The sequence below is a fragment of the Homo sapiens genome, chromosome 9, assembly GCF_000001405.40.
Source record: "Homo sapiens chromosome 9, GRCh38.p14 Primary Assembly".
NCBI classification, from domain to species: domain Eukaryota; kingdom Metazoa; phylum Chordata; class Mammalia; order Primates; family Hominidae; genus Homo; species Homo sapiens.
Window position 1 is genome coordinate 74,101,666 of NC_000009.12, and position 23,106 is coordinate 74,124,771.

General features: G+C 35.7%; 1 long non-coding RNA gene across 1 annotated transcript in view, besides 1 other annotated feature; it reads right to left on the reverse strand.

The window, feature by feature from the left end:
- Window positions 1,509-2,010: an enhancer, noted in NCBI's record as "NANOG hESC enhancer chr9:76718090-76718591 (GRCh37/hg19 assembly coordinates)". NCBI's record gives its function as "activates a minimal SCP1, AML or CMV promoter by ChIP-STARR-seq in primed H9 embryonic stem cells {active_cell/tissue: H9 hESC(primed)}" and the evidence as "EXISTENCE:reporter gene assay evidence [ECO:0000049][PMID:30033119]".
- The window catches only part of LOC101927329 (uncharacterized), a 154,205-nt gene continuing 150,615 nt past the window's right edge, over window positions 19,517-23,106 (reverse strand). The window contains exon 5 of the long non-coding RNA XR_242624.4: window positions 19,517-22,235. This is a non-coding gene — a long non-coding RNA (uncharacterized LOC101927329). The remainder of the gene's footprint in view (window positions 22,236-23,106) is intronic.

Below are 23,106 nucleotides of genomic sequence, written 5' to 3' on the forward strand. Positions count from 1 at the left end.
GAGAAAAACAATAGGGAATATCCTCCAGTTCCCAAAAATATAATCCATACTTTTTTACTTTGAATAAATTGCAGATGTTTTTCCCAAAGCAAAATATGTATTCTTCAGAGCTAATCAAGGTATACCTCATGAATTTTCTAATGGAGAAAATTGTGTTTAATAAAGCCTAAAGAAAATTACTCACATAGAGTAATTGTGCGGCCCCACTCAGGAAACCATGCTTTTCCCATGTATCTTTGCAACCCACAGATCAGGAGATCCCCTCATAAGCCCATGCCACCAGAAGACAGAAAATTAACAAAGATATTCAGGACTTGAACACAGCTCTGGATCAAGTGGTCCTGATAGATATCTACAGAACTCTCTACTCCAAAACAACAGAATATACACTTCTTCTAATTGCCACATGACACTTACTCTAAAATTGATAACATAATCAGAAGTAAAACACTGCTCAGCAAGTGCAAAAGAACTGAAATCATAGTCTCTCAGACCACAGAGCAATCAAAATAGAACTCAAGATTAAGAAACTCACTCAAAACCACACAACTACATGGAAATTGAACAACTTTCTCCTGATTGACTCCTGTGTAAATAATGAAATTAAGGCAGAAATCAGGAAGTTCTTTGAAACTAATGAGATCAAAGAGACAACATACCAGAACCTCTGGGTCACAGCTAAAACAATATTAAGGTGGAAATTTACAGCACTAAATGCCCACATCAAAAAGCTAGAAAGATCTCAAATCAACAACCTAACATCACAGCTAAAAGAAGTAGAGAACCAAGAGCAAACAAACCCGAAAGCTAGCAGAAGACAATAAATAACCAAGATCAGAGTGGAATTGAAGGAGATAGAAACACAAAACACCTTTAAAAAAAATCAATGAATCCAGGAGCTGGTTTTTTGAAACAATTAATAAAATAGATAAGCCGCTAGCTAGACTAATGAAGAAAAGATAGAAGACTCAAATAGATACAATCAAAAATGATAAGGGGGATATCACCCCTGACCCAAATAAATACAAACAACCATTAGAGAATACTATAAAAAACTCTTTGCACATAAACTAGAAAATCTAGAAGAAATGGACAAATTCCTGGATGCATGCACCCTCCCCAAACTGAACAAGTAAGAAATTGAATCCCTGAATACAACAATAAGGAATTCTAAAACTGAGACAGTAATAAATAGCCTAACGACAACAACAACAACAAATCCCAGGACAGTACAGATTTAGAGCTGAATTCTACCAGAGGTACAAAAAAGCACTGGTACTATTTCTACCAGAACTATTCCAAACAATTGAAAAGGAGGGGCTTCTTCCTAACTCATTTTATGTGGCCAGCATCATCTTGATACCAAACCTGGCAGAGATACAACAAAAAATGTAGACTTCAGGCCAATATTCATGATGAACACTGATGCAAAAATTCTTCATAAAATTCTGGCAAACCAAATCCAGCAGCATATCAAAAAGTTTATCCACCATGATCAAGTTGGCTTCATCCCTGGGATGCAAGGTTGATTCAATACACACAAATTAATAAAAATAATTGACCTAATAAACAGAACTAAAGACAAAAACCACATGATTATCGCAATAGACACAGAAAAGGCATTCAATAAAATTCAATGTCCCTTCATGTCAAAAAATGTCAATAAACTATGTATTGAAGGAACATACCTCAAAATAATAAGAGCCACATATGACAAACCCACAGCTAACATCATACTGAATGGGCAAAGCTGGAAGCAGTCTCATTGAAAACCAGCACAAGACAAGAATGCCCTCTCTCATCACTCCTATTCAACATAGTATTGGAAGTTCTGGTCAGGGCAATCAGGCAAAATAATGAAATGAAGGGTATGAAATAGGAAGAAAAGAAGTCACATTACCATTTTTTTGCAGATGATATGATCCTATATCTAGAAAACCATGTCATCTCAGCCTAAAAGCTTCGTAAGCTGATAAGCAGCTTCAGCAAAGTCTTAGAATACAAAACCAATGTGAAAAAATTGCTACCATTCCTGTACACCAACAACAGGCAAGCAGAGAGCCAAATCATGAATCAACTCCCATTTACAATTGCTACAAAAAGAATAAAACACTTAAGAATACAGCTAACAAGGGAAGTGTAGGACCTCTTCAAGGAGAACTACAAACCACTGCTCAAGGAAATCAGAGAGGACACAAGCAAATGGAAAAACATTCTATGATCATGGATAGGAAGAATCAATATTGTGAAAATGGCCATATTGCCCAAAGTAATTGATAGATTCAATGCTATTCCCATTAAACTAGCATTAACATTCTTCACAAAAGTAGAAAAAACTATTTTAAAATTTTATAAAACCAAAAAAGAGCCTGAATAGCCAAGACAGTCCTATGCAAAAAGAACAAAGCTGGAGGCTATCCAACTTCAAACTACACTACAAGGCCACAGTAACCAAAACAGCACGATAGTAGTACAAAAACAGACATACAGACCAATGGAACAGAATAAAGAACTCAGAAATAAGACTGCACACCTACAACCATCTGTTCTTTGACAAACCTAACAAAAACAAGCAATGGGGAAAAGATTCTGTTATTTAATAAATGATGCTGGGAGAACTGGCAAGCCATATGTGGAAAATTGAAAGTGGATCCCTTCCTTTTACACTATAAAAAAATTAACTCAAGATGGATTAAAGACTTAAATGTAAAACCCAAAACCATAAAAACCCTAGAAGAAAATCTAGACAATACCATTCCAGACATAAGCATGGGCAAGGATTTCATGGTGAAAACATCAAAAGCAATTGCAACAAAAGTAGAGGTTGACGAATGGAATCTAATTAAACTAAAGAATTTCTGCACAGCAAAAATTATCATCTGATTGAACAGACAACCTACAAAATGGGAGAAATTTTTTACAATCCATCCATCTGACAAAGCTCTAATATCCACAGTCTACAAATAACTTAAACAAATTTACAAGAAAAAGACAATCAGCCCCATTAAAAAGTGGGCAAAGGACATGAACAGACACTTCTCAAGATAATACATTCATGTGGCCAACAAACATTTGAAAAAAAATCTCAACATCACTGATCATTAGATAAATGCAAATCAAAACAACAATGAGATACCATCTCATGCCAGTCAGAATGTCAGTTATTAAAAAGTCAAGATACAACAGATGCTGGTGAAGTTGCAGAGAAAAAGGAATGCTTTTACACTGTTGGTGGGAGTGTAAATTAGTTAAGCCATTGTGGAAGACTGTGTGGTGATTCCTCAAAGGCCTAAAAACAGATATACCATTTGACCCAGCAATCCCATTACTGGGTATATACCCAAAGGAATATAGATCATTCTATTACAAAGATACATGCACATGTATGTTCACTGCAGCACTGTTCACAATAGCAAAGACATGAAATCACCCAAATGCCCATCAATGACATACTAGATAAACAAAATATGGTACATATATACCATGGAATACTATGCAGCTATAAAAAGGAACGAGATCATGTCCTTTGCAGGGACGTGAATGGAGCTGGAAGCCATTATCCTCAGCAAACTAATGGTGGAACAGAAAACCAAACACCACATGTTCTCACTTGTAAGTGGGAGTTGAATGATGAGAACACATAGACACATGAAGGGGAACAAAACACCCTGGGGCCTGTTGGGGCGGGTGGGGGTAGGGAGAGCATCAGGAAGAATAGCTAATGGATGCTGGGCTTAATACCTAGGTGGTGGGTTGATCTGTGCAGCAAACCACCATGGCACACATTTACCTATGCAACAAACCTACACATCCTGTACAAGTAGTTCAGAACTTAAAATATAAGTTAAAGAAAAAAATTACTCACATAAAGATAGATGTACTAATTAATGTAGGAGGAAGAGTTAGATTGTATGTATCTTTAAATGTGATACTACATGCTATAAATTCTTCAATAGAGAAACTGAGTTTCTTTTTTACTGGTTCAAAATGCCAATATTGAATCCACATTGCCATCATCAATGTGGAGATGAATGTTGAGTGCCCTACTCATTCTTAGAAGAGTTGTAGAACTATCTCAGAATTGTCTGGAAGGTTTTCAGTGCCCTTGATAAATGCACGTTTCCCAAACTTTAGGAGGAAACAGAAGCAGGTGTATGGTATGAGCAGGAGAAAAAAAGGAGCTACAGTTCCAGGGACAGATGTTCTGGGAAATTATATTTTAATACGGAGAAGAATCTTCAAAAGAGAGGAAGATGTGATCCAGTATTAATGTATTCGTCATTCTTTGCCAAGAATCAAACATTGCAGTTTTCCTTCGTGCCCTTGCTTATCTGAGCTTTCTGCCTGTTTGTATTTCACTATTTAATGCTTTAACCTGTGGTTTTAGACCCCGTCTTTCCTTTGCTCCATTATCCTAAAGTAATTTTGTAAATGTTTTGATGTTACCAGATGTGTGAGATGAATTGCTTCCCCACAAAAATTCATATGTTGAAGTCCTAACCCTCAGACCTCAGAATGTGACTAGATTTGCAGATAGTGTCTTTAAAGATTAGGTGTCATAGGGAGTGGGCACTAATCCAAAATGACTGGTGTTCTCATAAGAAAGAAAATCCAGACACAGACATGTACAGAAGGAAGACTTGTGAAGACATAGGGAGAAGATATAGGGACAAGAGGGCCATCTACAAGTCAAAGAGAGAGGCCTGAAACAGACCCTTTCCTCACAGCCATCAAAAAAGAACAAACCTTTCTGACACTTTGATCTGATTCCAGCATCCAGAACTATAAGAAAGTGAATTTTGTTGTTTACACTGCCAAGTCTCTGGTACTTTTTAACAATAGCCCTAGCAAATTAATGTTTCAGATTTTCTGATTTACTAAAATTTTCATGCCGTAGATTGCTCAACCTAAGAGGATCCAGTTGTCAAAATTGCCTTAATTTCTGGAAGTGTTGGAGTTAAGTTTAGGAGTCTGGACGTGATGAGTGGTTTGGGGAAGAAGGCACAATTCTGCCCCAAGATGGACAAATTCTACATGTCATCTGCTATGTGAACATGATAGTGAAAGGCTGTCCAAGAGACAGCAAAAATAAACCAGAAGTTTTACCATATGTTCCTATTATACATGAAGAAAAAGTGTCTTCTGCGAGACCCAAAAGGAGCAAATCTTAGAGAGCTTCTACTTATTCCCTTTAGTGGGTAATATTGAAATGCACTTCTTCTGAATTTAAAAGAAGGTAAGGTCTTGGAAAATAGTTACTAATTCCAAATAAATTAAAACCTAAAAGAGTACTTAAAATGAGAAAAACCAGGCCATCCTACATTCTGGTAAGTTGAGAAAAATGGTTGTTTTTGTCTTTTTTGTTTATTATATTTAAAAGCAATGAGAGGCCTATAAAAAAAAGAAAAAATATTTGCTTATTAAGTAAATCAGAAGGTCACTGACAATACTCAGTTAAACTAAACATTAGATTGTCACCGTTAACTACTTCTGTCTCCATCTTTAACATTGTAAGAACATTTACCTTGGAAGTTTTTTGGGAACTCTTACTGGCATTGCTGTATGTTGCTCTATGATTTATAGAAGGTGAAGCATAGAGCAATTTTGGTAATCTTTTTGTCAATGTCAAAGTCAACAACAGTCCCTAAATTAAGCAAATAAAAACACAGGATACCCAGATAAATTTGTATTTTACTTGTATTTATATTTTATGATCGTGTCTTCAGCGTAATTATGTCTCATGCACTATTTGGAGTACACTTACAAAAAGTTATTCCTTGGTTATGTTTCAAATGTATCTAGGCACTGTAGATGTTATCTGGCAACCCTGGGTATAACTTCCATTTTGACAGGAACGGTAATAGTCTCTCACTCTTTCTTACCAGGGTGCCTCTCTTTTATGTTAGTTGAGATTTTATAGCTTTACATCCAAAACTTAAAAAAATTACTCAGGAAATATTGGAATTTACAAAGCATTATCTCACATCAGCAGGATATTAAGTAGTATGTCACATGGCAACCAATGAGGTTGTTGCTATCAACTAATGAAGTGGTTTGGGGTGGAAAACCCTGTACATTTTAATGGGCAGTAATATCTCAATTCCCTAGGAAAGTTTGAGGCCAGCCTGGGCAACATAGTGAGACTTAATCTGTGAATGTTTTGTTGACTGAGCAAGCATGGGGTAAAGTCTGTGCTACCTGCCTGCATTAGTGGACCTTGGCTGGCCCAATTTCTTGATGACTCATTGATGGAAACTTTGGCCCTTCCTGACTTTAACTTTGCATCTACCCATGATTTTAGGATAATAGCAGGGTGGAAAAACCTCTCAGCGCTGTTATATTATTCAAGGCTACTTTAAACATGTTGAAATGGGTTCTTCATTTTTTTATAACCTATAAATATGTGTGTCAAAATAATTTTCCCATGAGAACAATGATAAAAGAGCTTATTGTTTCATTTTCAGGGGACTCTCCCAACTAGCTGGTTACTTGCCTATTTATAGGTTAACTTATGTAGTTCTCAAGATACATTTAACCTCTGCCACCACTCCTCCCCAACTAGAGTTGTTCTATGTTAAATGTTAGATTTCAAAGTTAAATTTAAGATTTGAGTAATACACCCTTATATTTATGTTTCTTAACTAACCTCCACGGCTTGGAAAAAATAAAGAGTGGAAAGGTTGTACACCATTCTGAAATACAACATCCCCACAAATGTACTCCAGAAAAAAAGCTCTATCTTCCAACTCTATTCCATAGTAAAAGTAACTGCTAAATGTTCTCTCAAACACTGTGTTAGGCTCTTTATAGACACAGGTATAATTCAATCTTCACAACATGTCTATAAGTTAAAAGTTATGATTGTAATTTTACATAAAATGAAATGAGACTAAGAGAGGATAAAGAGGTTAGAAAGTGGAGGAACCCTTATTTGAAAGCACATTTAACAGAAAAACCATGTTTGTCTGTCTGTCTCAAAAGTTTGGATTTTTAACTACTTCCTAGTGCTTTTTTTTTTTCTCCTGTATTAGATCCCAGACTTTGCAGGATCCTCTGCCCCAAACCATCAGCAATGATTTATAGTTGGGGGATTCTCCACTCCTGTTTTCTATCAGGTGGAGCAAAGAGAAAGGTGGTAAAATAGAAAAGAAAGTCTCAATCTCATCAAAATTGATGAAGAACATTTAAATTTCTTAAACTCTTACTCAGAGTAATATGGGGATGTCTGCTGGGTAAGATCTATAAGACCATTAGTACAGTATTAATGGTGAATTTTTTTAGGTATAACACATGTTAAACGAGCTTTTGGTATCAGGTGAGGAATCTACCTTAACTGCTAACATGCAAAGATAAGATCCACACTAAATACAAGTCAATAGTGTGGACCTTATAAATGGGGCGCCCCTTTGTGGAAATGAGAAAGTTATTTTGGCTTTATTCCCTCATTTTCTCAAAAAGTTAAATCAAGACCCCTGTCCTTTGTCCAAGCAATCAAATTAACACTAAATTGAAGTGTTGCATGGCCATCACAGCCACAAGTATGGCCTCACACATACCAGACCAAGAAGATGCCCACATCTGACCATGTCCTGGTTACATGAGGTCAAAAATAAAATTGGATTGGTTTTGAATATACATCAATAATTAAAAATATTGCAGGGTACACTCAACAATTTTAGTATTGAATTTTTGTCACATATCTATTTCTGAACTCTTTTTAAAAAAAAAATTATTTAATTTTTTATAGAGTTGAGGTCTTGCTATGATGCCCAGGCTGATCTTGAACTCCTAGGCTCAAAAATTTCTCCTACTGTGGCCTCCCATGTAGCTGGATCTATAGGAGTGTTAACCACACCCAGCCGTGAACTCTTTACAATCCATTCATAAGTTGTAGTCTGTTTGTTTATTTATGTAAATTGCTCTTGTTTGTTGCTCTTGTTTATTTATGTAAATTATGCAAGGTTTGGGTGTATGTTCATGAGTGTTCCTGTGTATAGAGGTAAGAAAAGACATTATAAATAAATGAAATTCCATGTTTGTAGGTATAAATAAAAGCAAAGGAGTTGGAGCCAGACTGAAATCAAGCTATGTCTCAACCACTGATTAGCTCTGCGATTTTGGGCAAGTTCCTGAGAAACTCTTTGTGCCTTAGCTAAAAGTTCCTCCTTATAACATTGTTGTGGGGAATAAATACAATAAAACATAAAGAATAAGTTTAATAGTGCCTGAGAATATAGTAAATGCTCAATAAATATTAGTATTATTGTTGTTGCTGCTCTTCTTGTTGTGTGACCTTATTTTCTGAGAGGCTTAATAAATGAAAAAGAGATGACCCAGATGTTTGTACCTATGCCCTGTGATGCTGTCTGGTTTTTGAAAAGTGTCCATTATGCTATGAAACCAGGATAATTTGTTACTTATTTGCATATGCACAGCAATTGAGAGACATGCAATCCAACAGACTAGGATTAAAATGCTTAAAAAGAGAATTGTGTCTTCAAAATGAACTGAAGATAGACTGAGAAGATGCGAACCACTGCCCAGAATATCTTGAAGACACAACCTTTATTAGCTTTCCTCTTTTCTGCTCACATCTTCTGGGAGATTGAAGAACATTACACTTGCATGCTCTCGGTCATTTTCTAACCCTTATTTAAATAAACTACCTAAGGTTATGTTACAATCTGTTAAAACATATTATTGTTGGATTATGAATATTAGGAACTTTGTAACAAAGTGGAAAGTCGAGGTTATATTTGGAGCTTCTAAATTATTGAATCTAGTGAATGATGAAATATAGGCTTCATCACTATCTCTTCAAAGATACCTCAAAGAATATTACAGAAAAAAAGTTATAACACAGACAGTGTGATTACTTTTTTACATTAATGAAAACCAAAATCAAGTTGAAATTCTGCATTAGCACTCAACAGGAATGCATTTTTTGCTAGATCTTTTTAGAGATTATTTCCTAATCATGTGTTACTATAACTAGGTAAATAACAGTATTTACTCAAATACAGCTATGTTTATTTTTCTGGGGTGGTACATTGAGCAACAACATATTTTTATCTTGTTTTTGATTACTTAAATATTGTACATCACACCTTGCTCTTCTCTCTCTGCCCCACCAGTCCCTCATGGCTATTTCATTGAATACTGATGGTGCCTGCAAGTAGCTTACCAGAATGGTTTATTTTCGTATTTTATAGATAAATACTAGGCACTGTTATATGAAAACAGAATGCCCAAATCTGGTTTCAATTCCAACATTCCATCTGTTGTTTAAATAGAAAGAAGTGGTCATTGGTACATCAATCTGTGGCATATTTCAATAAATGTAAAGGAAACATCTTCAGATGGTTGGTTGGATTAGAAATAAGAAGCAGTATGAAGAAGTGATGTCCTTTTCCATTTCACCCCTAAAAATAGCATAATTCACTTGATTATGTATACCAATCATACTCTCTAAATTGCCTTTTTAAAAAAGATTGTATTTATATGCAGTCTTATTTATAGTGTATTTTTAAATATTCCAAAATTCTTTTGTTTTTATATGTCAGTTTCTACTATTTATATGCTTTTTATGCTTTAAGAAATTTAAAACATCAACCCTAGTGCTTATTATTCTACACAACACTCCAGTCTACAGCTTCATTTAAGTTGGTTAAAATGGAAATATCAGTTCTTAAGCAAACCAGGAAACCACCATCCTCATGCATCTTGCTTTCAATTATTTTTTAACGTAACCTTATTATTATGTTTAACTTTCTATTTTGCCTTTGTATTTAGTTTACTCAATCCAATATTATGACTTATTTATAAGTATATAATAAATGGTAAATAGAGTGAAGGTTCATGGAATTTTTGCGTTTTATTTTAGAATGCAATATTCACTTAAATGAATTACTTCCAAAAATGAATATACACAATGTCTAGACAAGTGCAAATAATACCTTGGCAGAAAGACAATTTACAGAGAAGTTAAATAAAACTCTTAAAATTTTTTTAAACAACAATAAAGGATTATATTAAGCTAGTCATGTTGCTAAGAATATTGTTATCATTCAATAAATTAATGCTATTCTTTTATTTGTATTATTATGGTTTGTATAATCACTAGTGTATCAAAAGTGAGGATACCAAGAGAATATTGATAATTTGAAGTATAACTTTCTGATTGAAAATAATTGTAATATCTGAGTGTTGTCCTTATACTGAAAATGGCACATTAGAGTTTTAAAATATTCTGTGAAAAACAAAATTTAATTAATTTTAAGAAGACAAATTCTTCTATTCTATCACAGAAAACCACTGCTTCTGAGAAAATAAATACACTAAATACCAAATATTGTCAGCAGCCTGCACTGTACTTTCAAATGAATAGAGTTGAAAGGCCTCAAGGGAAGTTCTCCTTCAATAAAGTAACTCTTGACCAACAGCCCTTGCCTTGTCCTCAAATGTCTTGTGGATTTTTTTTCATGTAACTATTACAGTTTTTGGTGACCCTATATGTAAACTCATTCATTTTATAACGTAAATGCAGTTCAATGAATAATATTGGAATCACTGTATTATTGAGACACAAAATGGTAAACACTTTTTGTCTTTTAAAGAAAATAATGAGAGAATATTCGAATTCTGAAAACTACTTTTTTTGCCATCTCTACTTCTAAAACAAGATTTAGAAAGTTTAGAATAAAATTTGACATCGTATGCATTTATTTTATTATTCAAAGATCTTAGTTAAATGACATTATTCGGAGGATAGAACCATGAGTAAGTTAAAGCCTGTATTTACAGAGCTTCATATGGATTTAGAAAGCTGAAAAATCCCAATCTTATTTCTTTTTCCTTCCTGTGGTTGGGCTTTTTGCTATTGCTAAGCAGATGAACCAAACAGGCTAGCAATGTGAGGGGTATTCTCACTTTATAAAAAGGTCTCTTCATTTTACCTACAAATCAACCTCTTGGTCATGTTCATATATTTCTGCCTGCAGTACTGTTGAGGAATGAGCTTGCCTCTGAGACTTGGGAGAAATGGATAGAACTGCCTGGGAGATCATCATCCTTTGTGTATCACCACTTATTGTGCTCTTCTCAAGAAGAGCACAGAAGCAGATATTGAATTTGGAATACTATCTATTGAATTTGAAAAGAAAACAATTTGTAGTGAAAAGAGCATTTAGAAAATAGAAAAGCATGAATTTATTTTCTTTTTTTTTTTTTTTTTTTTTTTTTGAGATGGAGTCTCATTTTGTTGCCCAGGCTGATGTGCAGTGCTCTATCTCAGCTCACTGCAACCTCCACCTCCCAGTTTCAAGTGATTCTCCTGCCTCAGCCTCTCAAGTAGCTGGGATTACAGGTGCCCACCACAACACCCAGATAATTTTTGTATTTTTGGTAGAGATGGGGTTTCACAATGTTGGCCAGCCTGATCTCGAACTCCTGACCTCAAGTGATCCACCTGCCTTGGCCTCCCAAAGTGCTGGGATTACAGGTGTGAGCCACCAAGCCCAGCCAAATAGAACTTGGGGAATTACATCTAGTTTAGCAAAAATTTAGAAATAGTGAAGTTTCTGGTGCTTTAAAAAAATAATCACAGGAATATAGTGATTCTACCCATTAGTGTGAGCATAAACCAGCCAGAAGATTGGGTGGCTCGTTTTCCTTGTCTGTATCAAAATGCACAGATGCCCTTCCACTGATGCCATAGAACTGACTTCCACAGGCAAATAAAAGTTGACACTTCCTGCCTTTGATTCATTGCAAAAGTGTGACTTTGGGGACTCTTACCATCAGAGCTGAAATAGGTCACTGTGGCAAGACACTGAAATAAAAAGAATGGATAACAGGAAAAGTCTCTTCTTGTCCCACCATAGCCCATCAACATTTTCTCATTTGCATAAGCATAGTAATTTCATAACGAGGAAAGAAGTCTCCATTAAGCCTGACTTTATGTCCTTTCCAATGGCTACTGCCCGCTTGTTTCGGAAAGGGGAGAGTAACTGGTATCTGCAGAAGACAGTGGAAGACAACACAGTGTTTCCCTGAAGTGGTGGGATCTGAATTTGATAATCCACCTAAGAAGAGTTATTAATTAAATAAAAAATAATATTGGGGATACTATGAATAATGATCAGCATTTCACCCTTTCAACATACAATAATATATAAATCCAATAATTGATATATTACTGTATTTAATTCTTAAATTAACTCTGGTAAAAACAAAACAAAACAAAACAAACAAAAAAAAACAGTAGATTAGCATCCCTCATGCATTTACCTTACACCAACCTTCGGTGAAAAATATCTGGTCTTTATTTTTTCTCTTCCTCTCTCTTTGACAGAATTTAAAGTATAGGAAAGTCATACCTTGCATATATGCCCTCTCATATACCAAACTTTCTGGGTACATTTATATATACCTACTCCTCTACAGAATTGCATATGCAGAAGCACATGCACGCTACTTCACAGACACTTTAAAACATTTTAAAAATCAATTTTTACTCTATTTACTTCTTATTTTATTTACTCATCTTAGTACTTTCACACGTCATTGTAAGATTCTGATAATGACAGCAGTAGTTTGTCTTGAGTTCAACTGAAATGTGAAACGCTATCTTAAGAGGTCTACACACAGCACCCAGCAACTCTTTAAGGTTTTCGCTTCTGATATTTGCATTTTACAGATGAAGAAATTAAAGCAAAGGAGTGTTGAATAATTCTTCTAAGATGACACAGCAGTACATTTTGAAGCTGGAATGCAAACTCAGATAATATTTCTCCTAACATGATGCTCTTGACTATTATTTTACTCTACTTCCCTTCCAGTGCTTCTATGTTATTATTATCAACAACTTACAAATGTAGACAACTAGGCTTAGAGAAAGCAAGGGTATTGACTAAGGTCATAGAGTGAATAGTGGTGAGGCTGAGACTGCACCCAGAGGATATGCTCTTAAACAATACACTGCAATATAAATCCACACGCCTTTTTCTTCATTATGGGGCTAGAGTTTCATTCATCCATAGCTACTAAGCTGTATAATATATATTACCTTTGTGGGAATCAGAAAGTTATTTCAGCTTTTATTCCCTCGTTTTCTCAAAAAGTAAAATCAAAGCCCCTGTCCTTTGTCCAAGCAATCAAATTAACACTAAATTGAAGTGTTGCATGACCATCACAGCCACATGTCTGGCCTCACACATACCAGACTAAGAAGATGCCCATTTCTGACCGTGTCCTAGTTACATGAGGTCAAAAATAAAATTGCATTGGTTTTGAATATACATCAATAATTAAAAATATTGCAGGGTAGACTCAACAATTTTAGTATTGAATTTTTGTTACATATCTATTTCTGAACAAAATTTAAATCTTTGAGCACTGCTGGAGTTCATTCAGCACCCCAGAATTGTTTGCAGTCATCTGTGTGTCCCAACAGCCTAGTTCCCTTTGATTCTTTTAGTATCAAACTCTGGACATGTGAAGTTGGGATGAAAGGCCTTGGCTCCTACAGTGAGGACAAACATCAGTGGTTCACTCTCAGGGTGATGGAACCAGGAAGGAGAAGACAAACTTTGCATTGTGTAAGGCACCCACTGGAAAGCCATCTTTAATCCCTTTCCTCCACAGAAGGATTTGAATGGAATTGAACTAAACAATTAATAAGTGTCTGGAGATACTGTAAAGGAAGATACTTTAAGCAACAGATCAGTACTGTCATTATTCAGAATACTGTATATTAGAAGGCTTTACACTGGAGGAGGCCAGTGATGCATTTGAAGCTACCCGTATGTTTTCTCTTGCTAGGGCTTCCTCTGTCTTGCCATGGCAGGACGTGAAAAGTTTCCTAGAGGCTGAATTGAAGGGCAAGAGCAGCCAAGTACAAGGTTCCAAAAAGACTGAGCCAAACCTTTCTGTCAAAGTAATTGCATAACACGTTTCTATATTGACCCAATGATTTCAATATAGAATTGAACAATTTCACACTGATAGACTTTTTTTTTTTAAAACCATTAATGGCATAATGAAAATCTGTGCTATATTGAAAAGAGACTGCCACTTTTTGATGAGAGAAAACTGTATAGCCATAAACTCAGTCATGAGAAATAAACCTGGGGAAATAAACCTCAGTTGTGGCTAAATGTCATGGTGATTTTAGCTCACTTTCATCAGCTGCTATTTAACTACAGGTAAAATCGCTTAAGAATGATATCTCTCAATATGGGAAGCCCAAATGTTAAGTGCGATCACTTTGCCCATATCCATAAATATAATGGCACTTTCATGCTTATATATATACCCTATGATACTTTATATTATCATGCTATGGGATTGTAAAACTGATTTCACAGCACGTGGCTTATTAAAACTCCGGCCGTCACACAGCATTCCTGTGCACTGGATTTTCAATTTTGTTGTCGCTCTTGATTCCCTTTTGCATATGTATTTGCTGGGAAAACCAATTACCAGATGGCACATGGTTATTTTTACATTTTGTATGGAGAGCTTCCAGCTGATAATTATGACATTACAGGAAGACTCCTATGCTTTGCATTAAGAATCTTTGGCAGAGGCCGTGATAAGCTTTTCCATTTGACTCTATACCTCTTGACTGATATATATTTATAAATTATTTGTGGGCAACGTTCACAGATATCAGGGAAGAATTTCCTTTCTTATAAATGGGGTTCCACAAACATAACACTCATGGAACAATGAACGGTGTTTTTCATTCCTTCAATCCATCAATAAACTAATATGTATTTTAAAATTTCTGGTTCTAGGTAACTCAGGACAAATTGTCATAGCCATCGCATATCAGAAAAGTCACACAGTCCAGTGGTCTATGTGTGACTGAGGCTTTCAGACCTGTCAGGTGGCATCTGTGTTACAGCATCCAGTCATTTTTTTTATTAGCTCCCTTGCTTTAATGCTTCTGAGGGAGGTTTTAAGAGAGAGGAAGAGCGAAAAGGAGAGACTGAAAGCAAAGGTAATAGTACAAAATGACTATAATTACAATTATGTAGTAGTAATAAATCCAGAATTGCAGTGTAACACACCAGAGTAGAGTCAGGCCTTAAAACACATTAGAATTAGAATTAATAGGCTATACTTTTGTTAGTATATCAACCCTCAACCCAAAATGCACCTTAGCTCCTGAAAAACACTGGGTTGCGTTCCTGCTATGCTCCCAACTCAGACACTTCTTTCCAATTACTTTAATTATGTTATTAAAAGCGTAGAATATGTGAAATCTTGTTTCCTTGAATATTATCAATGTTTTCCTTTTGATTCACCTCAGTTACAGAAAGTACATTTTTCCCCTAAATACATATATTGTTCTTGCTGGTTTTGATTTTTTTTAATTTTTCAATATAAGGGAAGAATGGCTATTAGATTACCACCAAATACTGTTTAAATATACCATTTTACATAAATATTGCTCTAATATTAATACATTTAATGTGGGCTGTGAAGAAATGTCTTTGGACAGCTTAATTACAATTCAGGAAATTTTGCCAGCTTCTTTCCCAGTTTCAATGATAAAAATAAAATGCTGTGTGGCTGATCTGAGAATTAGTCCCTAGAGAATAAAGGAAGGACTCAGTAGAAATCTGTGTGCTTCCAGACTGCATTTTCCTACTCAACCCCAATGAACATGAAGCATGCATAATTTGGCACTGCTGTCTCTGTATTTGCATTTAGCACACATACATTAAGCTAATTAATCATGTTGTGTCCTAACTCCTCCCAACAAATAAATTAACTATTCAGTTAACTGATGATGAAATAGCCAATTCTTTAAATGATATCCACACTAAAAATGGTAAGGTGAGCACATACTTATTGACAGTTGATGCTTTTCTGGAATGACCCTCCCCTGCTCAACAGAATTTCTGCTCAGTGAATGCAGCAAAAGAAAAGACATGTGCGGAATAATCTGAATCTGTGAAAACCGATTGTTCATGCTGCTAAAATAGCTATTTCCTGTAAAGAAAACACAGTGGTCAATGTATCTTTAGTAAACAATGCTCTTTATTAAGTTGATACAGTTAAAAATTAGAGGCAGATGGAATAATGGAGGAAGGAGTCACAATTAAATACTTCTTCATAATTTCTGACACTAAAGTAACTTCTAAAGTAATTGCATGTTTTCTGTGGCTTATATCAGTGAAATGTGGTCAGCCTTTACTCTGGCACTCATTATGAGTGGCAATGTCTTTAATCCTTGTGCTGTTTCTGACCCTGATTCTGAAGATTAGCATTCTGCAACCCTGAGTCACTGGGTTATCCTGGTAAGTTGTACAATCATTGACTTCGAGCAGGGTTCTGATCAGTGTAGTACAAGGTTAAGATAATCCTTGCTCTTCGTGACATTTTTCTTCTCTTATTTTCTGTTAAGGAGACAATCTGATGGCTGTGGAAGATTTTACAAGAGTCGGTGTTTGAAAGTTTTTTCCAAATCCACGTTAATGGAACAAAATAATGGGGAACCAACTGAGACTGGGGCCTAATTTAAAGTCACTTTGCCAAATTAAGGCATAGCCTTTCACCCACAGCACTACATCCTAGTGCCATTTGTCTTTTCAGTTAACTTTATGGATCCCAGAAACACTAAATATCAAAGCACATAAAAGTAAGCACTTTAAATAAAACCTGGAAGAATCTTAAATTAATACAGCCATTGCAAACTTAGATAATACATTTTTTTTCCCCAAATGACAGTGTTCAGAAGATAGGAAAAAGCTCTAGCTGTTTTAAAAGAATGTGTTCTGCATAACAAAGATGATGAAGATGAAGCAGGTAAGCAATTATCAGTTAGTAAAATGGTTAGAAAATAGAATAACTAACCTGGTGGGTGAAAACTCAGATGAGGATATTAATTCACTATTTAACTGGACAGACAATTTATAGCTAAAAAAATTATTATGTTTTGATTTTGTAGCTGTTATTGAAATGAAAGTCTTTAAGCTCAAGACAAAAGTAGTGTTTTCCATTCACATCTCAAAGGTAATATAAAATGAAGTTGCCTTATTTTCCAACCCAAGATAAATTTAGAAGGCCGTTTTTCACAAAAGGAAAAGGATATTGGAAAGGAGGGAAGATAGAGGAAAGGAAAGTAGGAAGGAAAGAAGATCCTTACAAAGGTGTCTTAAAAGGGAAATAGCTAAATCCTACAAAACTAAAGAAAATGGTATACCGTTGTAAATGAAAAGATGGGAAATAAAGCCAAATGTGGATGTGTAGTACTTTCTTTATGATTTTTACTTTGTTAAGCTTATATCTAGTCTTTTATTAATAAGAAACTATTATTTGTCTCTCATTTTTTTCTCCTATTTATCTCTTGAAAGTTCTTGATGAAGCAGTATGATTGTGTCTTATCCTATTCAGGCTGCTATAACAAAAGACCACAAACTGGTAATTTATAAACACCAGAAATTTATTTCTCATGGTTTTAGAGTCTGGGAAGTCCAAGATCAAGGTGCTTGGCAGATTCAGTGTCAGGTGAGGTTCTACCTCCTGGTTCATACATCGTACCTTCTGATCCCCACATGGTAGAAGGGCTTGCAAGGCATCTCTCTGAGGCCTCTTTTATAAGGGCACTAACCCCATCCATGGGAGCCCCCAAGACCTAATCATCTTCCACTAGGCCTAACCCAGTAATATCATCACCTTTTTGATAAGGCTTTAACGTGAACTTTGGGGGAACACAAACATTCAGGGTGTATAGCAAGTTCTAAATTTGTGGGAGTTTGAAAGTTTTTTGTGTGTGTGGTTTTTTTTAAATGTTTATTTTAGGTTCAAGGGTACATGTTCAGGTTTGTTATATAGGTAAACCCGCATCACAGGAGTTTGTTACATGGATAATTTCATCACCCTGGTTCTAAACCTAGTATGCTATAGTTATTTTTTCTACTTCTCTCTCTCCTCCCACCCTCCAACCCCTGAGAGACCCCACTGTCTGTTGTTCTCTTCTTTGTGTCCATGTGTTCTCATCATTTATCTCCCATTTATAAGTGAGAACATGTGGTATTTGGTTTTCTGTTCCTGTGTGAATTTCCTAAAGATAATGGCCTCCAGCTCCATTCATGTTCCCACAAAAGACATGATCTTTTTCTTTGTTATGGCTGAGTAATATTCCATAATATTTGGTAATATTCCAAATGTAACACATTTTCTTTATCCAATCTGTCATTGATGGACATTTAGTTTGTTTCTGTGTCTTTGCTACTGTGAATAGTGCTGCAGTGAACATTTGCATGCATGTCGTGCATGCGTCTTTATGGTAGAACAATTTATATTCCTCTGCATATATACCGAGTCATAAGACTGCTGGGTCAAATGCTATTTCTGTTTTTAGCCCTTTGAGGAATTGCTGTACTGCTTTCCACAATGGTTAAACTAATTTACACTCTCAGCAACAGTTTATAAGTGTTCCCTTTTCTCTGCAACCTCCCCAGCATCAAGTTATATATTTGAAGCATGAGATTTATCTATTTTGCAATCCAGGAAATCATTGTAATTTTTCCTGAGTCTCTAAAGGAACGAGTAGCTCTGTCTTGCACACTAAGCATACATAAGGTTTGGGAGAATATGTAGTTCATAAGTTATGAAATCCCACAAAGTGCCTCAGGGAAAATAAAAGGCATTAAGAAGTACAAATATTCATGTGTTGTCTTTTTTATATTCAAATATAACAGTGAGAAGACAACTATATTTTTTTCATGTGCATGTGAATAAACAAGTCCAGAATATGTCACCTTTTGGGATGTTTATAGAAAGACCATCCTTCAGGTTAGAGCTATTTCTCTTAGTCTGCAAGTCATCTTGATTCTTTGATCAAAATGAATCATGCCATTCTGGATGGCTGCAAGCTTGGTTGGCCTGCTGCTGCTGTTTCGTAGCATCATATAGCCATACTGCGTGTCACATGACAAGGTCATTGCCCAGGAAGTGTTGCTATCCTGCTCATCAGCACTGAAGCAGCACACATCTGCTGGCCTGAACCATGTAGAAAAGAGAGGATGTCACAATCAACTGCTGTGAGGCAGGCAGGAGTAGGGTGGCGTGTGAAAAGGAAAGACTACAAGACACAAGCAAATGGTTTGTCTTATCACTGGATATTAAGACAGCATCCTGTCAACACTGTCGAAACCCTCAACATGGTAGGATGAGAGTAATCAGTCCAATCCTTTGAGGTCAAGTATTTGGGGAAATATTTCCCCCACTTCTATTTTCTCAAAAATATTCTCATGTCTTCTTATTTAATGCAGGTTAAAATGTAACAGAGTATGTAGAATTAGAATAAAGTATAATCTCAGATTTTTCTTTGCCTTATAAAATAACTTAAATGCAAAATATCCCTTATGAAATAAATGTGTATGAGTCAACACATGAGTGCAAGGATGGGGTCTATCTTCAAGACAGGTAAGCTTCTTGTTTTCTAGGAGTTTGAATTGGAGTGTGTGGTGAGAGAGGGGAAGAAGAGGAAGAAACACTGTTCAGAGAAAAACTGGTTTTTATTTAGGATGCTTAATGCGAACAGGTACATTATCAGCTTTAACATAATAATGAAAACAATCTGGCTTATTTACTTACTTTCTGACAGCATTACTTTACCATATCAAATATTTTTCATCAAATGCCATCGATTTATTTAAACCCAGTCTATTTAATATTTTAAAAATCATCAGATAATATAAGACAAGACTAAGCGGGAGAGGGGAAATTTTCATTCACCTTACATCAGGGAAGCACTAAAATATAACCATATATTTATATTTATTTATATAATAAAGTTTTTAATAGAGAAGGTTTGCAAACAATCTTATTCTCACCTTTATATTCTTTGTAAATATTGAGAAAACAGAAAACTAAAGTTGGAAATAGACAAAAACTGAACTCATGATCTCCCATGTTGACCATAAATCTGTCTCCTTCTTCATTCAATATTTCAATGTTAAATATCAAGCACTCACAGCAAAGATTCATAGTTAATTTTGTCCTCAGTTTTAAAAAGAAATTCAATATGCACTCATACATGAGGTAGAAAAATTGATACATGTACTGATAAAAGTAAGATCAGTTCCAGTAGCTAGAACCTTTGTGAAACAGAAGATGAGAAAAAACTGAGACTCTAAGCATGGAAGAAGGTAAAGAATGCTAAAAATAAAAAAATAGCCTGCCTCAGATCAGAACAGAAGCGCCAATTAAAAAGTGAAAATTTCAGCCAAATCATCAGTTTGAATGTGGAGTTTTTTTCTCTGTCAGAACGTATTTTGACATATTGCCAAATAACTATGGGTTTTCTTCCCCCCTTAACTGAATTGACCAAGTTAGCTGCTTGCTTCAGTTTTACAAAATTTTAACCCAAGTTTGGAGAACATTTCAAAAATTGCAGGTGGATTGTTTCTACTGTCTGCTAAACAAATGTGTTGAACATCTTGTGATTTGTTCATCATGTACAGTATGAGTGTTCTTTTTCTTTTTGTCTTTAATTGCTTCTTGAGCTAAATATAAAGCTAAGCTAGCCTGGCTATTGTTGCACAGTGTTATTATATCAGCTTAATAAATTAGTTTTTGGGTGGGAATCTGGGCAGAGATCCATGCGTGTTACTGTTTCTTGTTGTGTTTTGTTTTGTTTTCAATGTATTACCCCCAGTTCTGTTCCAGTTTGTCCTTTACCTGTCTTTGAAATATGCTGTCACTCAGAAAAGCTGGTTCCTTCTCTTGGCTCCTCTGCCTGTGCATATTCAGTTAAAAGGAAGCCACGGAATGGCTACATCCTGTTGCTAGCTAAAAGTTTTGGGGTTTTACATTTTGAACTACTCTAAGATTTACACCAGAGCAAAATTAAAAAAAAAAAAAACAAAACAACAAACAAACAAAAAAAAAAACAACCAGACATGCTACAGCCATCTATTCATGTAAAACAGGAAATGTATGTTGAATTACACAGAAATCTTTCCTAGGGATCTGAGTTGTTATATTAGTCTGTTCTCACATTGCTACTAAAGACTTACCTGAGACTGCGTAATTTCTAAATGGAAGAGGTTAAATTGACTCACAGTTTCACATGGCTGGGCAGGCCTCACAATCATGGCTGAAGGCAAAGGGGAAGCAAAGGCATGTCTTACGTGGTGGCAGACAAGAGAGAGTAGGAGCCAAGTGAAAGGGGTTTCCCCTTGATAAAACCATCAGAGCTCATGGACTTATTCGCTATCACGAGAGCAGCATGGGAAAGGCCTGCCCCCATGATTCAATTACCTCCCACCAGCTATCACCAGCCACATGTGGGAATTGTGGGAGCTACAACTCAAGATGAGATCTGAGTGGGGACAGAGTCAAACCATATCAGTTGACATTTCTTATTTAAAAACTAGGGGGGAATAATACAGTTGACTGTCCTTGATGTCATTTATAATTAGTCAATCAACAAACACATTTTTGAAGCTCTAGCAAGTGGAAAGTACCATGCTGGGCTTGAAGTGAAGGAGACTGGCACATTTATCTTTGCCCACAGGACATTGCCAGGAAAAAGTATGGAAAGTAAGAGAGGGCTGAAGATTAATTTTCGTGCTCTAACACCTTCACTTTTCTAGTAATATGACATTGGTAAAGTCACTTTTCCCTTTTAAACCTCAATTTCCTCATCCATAAATTAGAAAGCTTATTACCTCACAATGACTTTATGAGCATCAATAAAATAATGCATGTGAAAGTGTTTTGAAAATGATACAACTCTTTTCTGATGAAAATTATTATTTTTATTGACATCATAAGCCAGATAATTCTTCATTGCAGGAGCAGTACTATGGATTATAAGATATTTAGCAGTACCACTGGCTCTACCCTGTAGATGCTAGTAGTAGCCCTGTCCCCTAGATTGTGACAACCAAAATGTCAAATTGCCAGATGTCCTCTAGCTGGGGGAGGGAGCTGGAAGGGCAGTGCTGTGTTCCTGCTTGAGAATATTGATACACATATAAATGTAAATATACACAGAGCAAGGATTGTAACACTTAAGGCCATAACACATTTAATATGTACAGATATCACTTTAACAATCAACATAATAAAGATTCACCAAAGAAGAGTACATTTTTTGCACTGTGGTGCAAAGGGGGCCACTTAATTTCCTGAACAATCAATAGTGCCTTTGTCTGATGGAGGAGATAACTGGTCATATCTTCTTACTTTCTCCTACCAAGGTGGCCTCGCTAGAAAAAAAAAAAAAAAGATTTCCTAAATGACAAAACAAGTTAAACACTAAATTCAATTTTTATTAGCTTTATAAAAATATCTTTGAAATGGATAATACAGTGAAGTGGATCAAAACACCTATGGAGTGTTTGCATTAGAAGAACCATCTGGGTAGGGCCGGGCGCGGTGGCTCGCGCCTGTAATCCCAGCACTTTGGGAGGCCGAGGTGGGCAGATCACAAGGTCAGGAGATCGAGACCATCCTGGCTAACACGGTGAAACCCCATCTCTACTAAAAGTACAAAAAATTAGCCAGGTGTGGTGGCGGATGCCTGTAGTCCCAGCTACTCAGGAGGCTGAGGCAGGAGAATGGCATGAACTCGGGAGGCAGAGCTTGCAGTGAGCCAAGATCACGCCATTGCACTCCAACCTGGGCGACAGAGCAAGACTCCGTCTCAAAAAAAAAAAAAAAAAAAAAAAACCATCTGGGTAAAGATAGTATAAAAGATAGTATGAAAGGAGGAGGAAAGAGCTGAAACCAAGTTTAAAAACCTTGGGCCAGACACTATTCTAAGCCTCAGTTTTCCCAATTGTAAGAATAAAAAAAAAAATACAATCTTCGCAAAATATTGTGTAGATATGGATATGCAAAGCTCTCAGAAAAAGTGCCTGGAATGTTATATCAACCCAATAAATGTTACCTTTGCTTTTTTAAAAGAACAATAGACATGTTTTATAGTTTTCTATAGTTTTTAAAATAACTCTATACAACTTATTTCATTTCACTCCGAGAAAACAATTCGGTGATATAGATATGTTATTATTTCTGTTTTATAGATGAGGACACCAAAGCTGGAAGAAGCTCACTAATTTGGCCAAAGTCATAGAG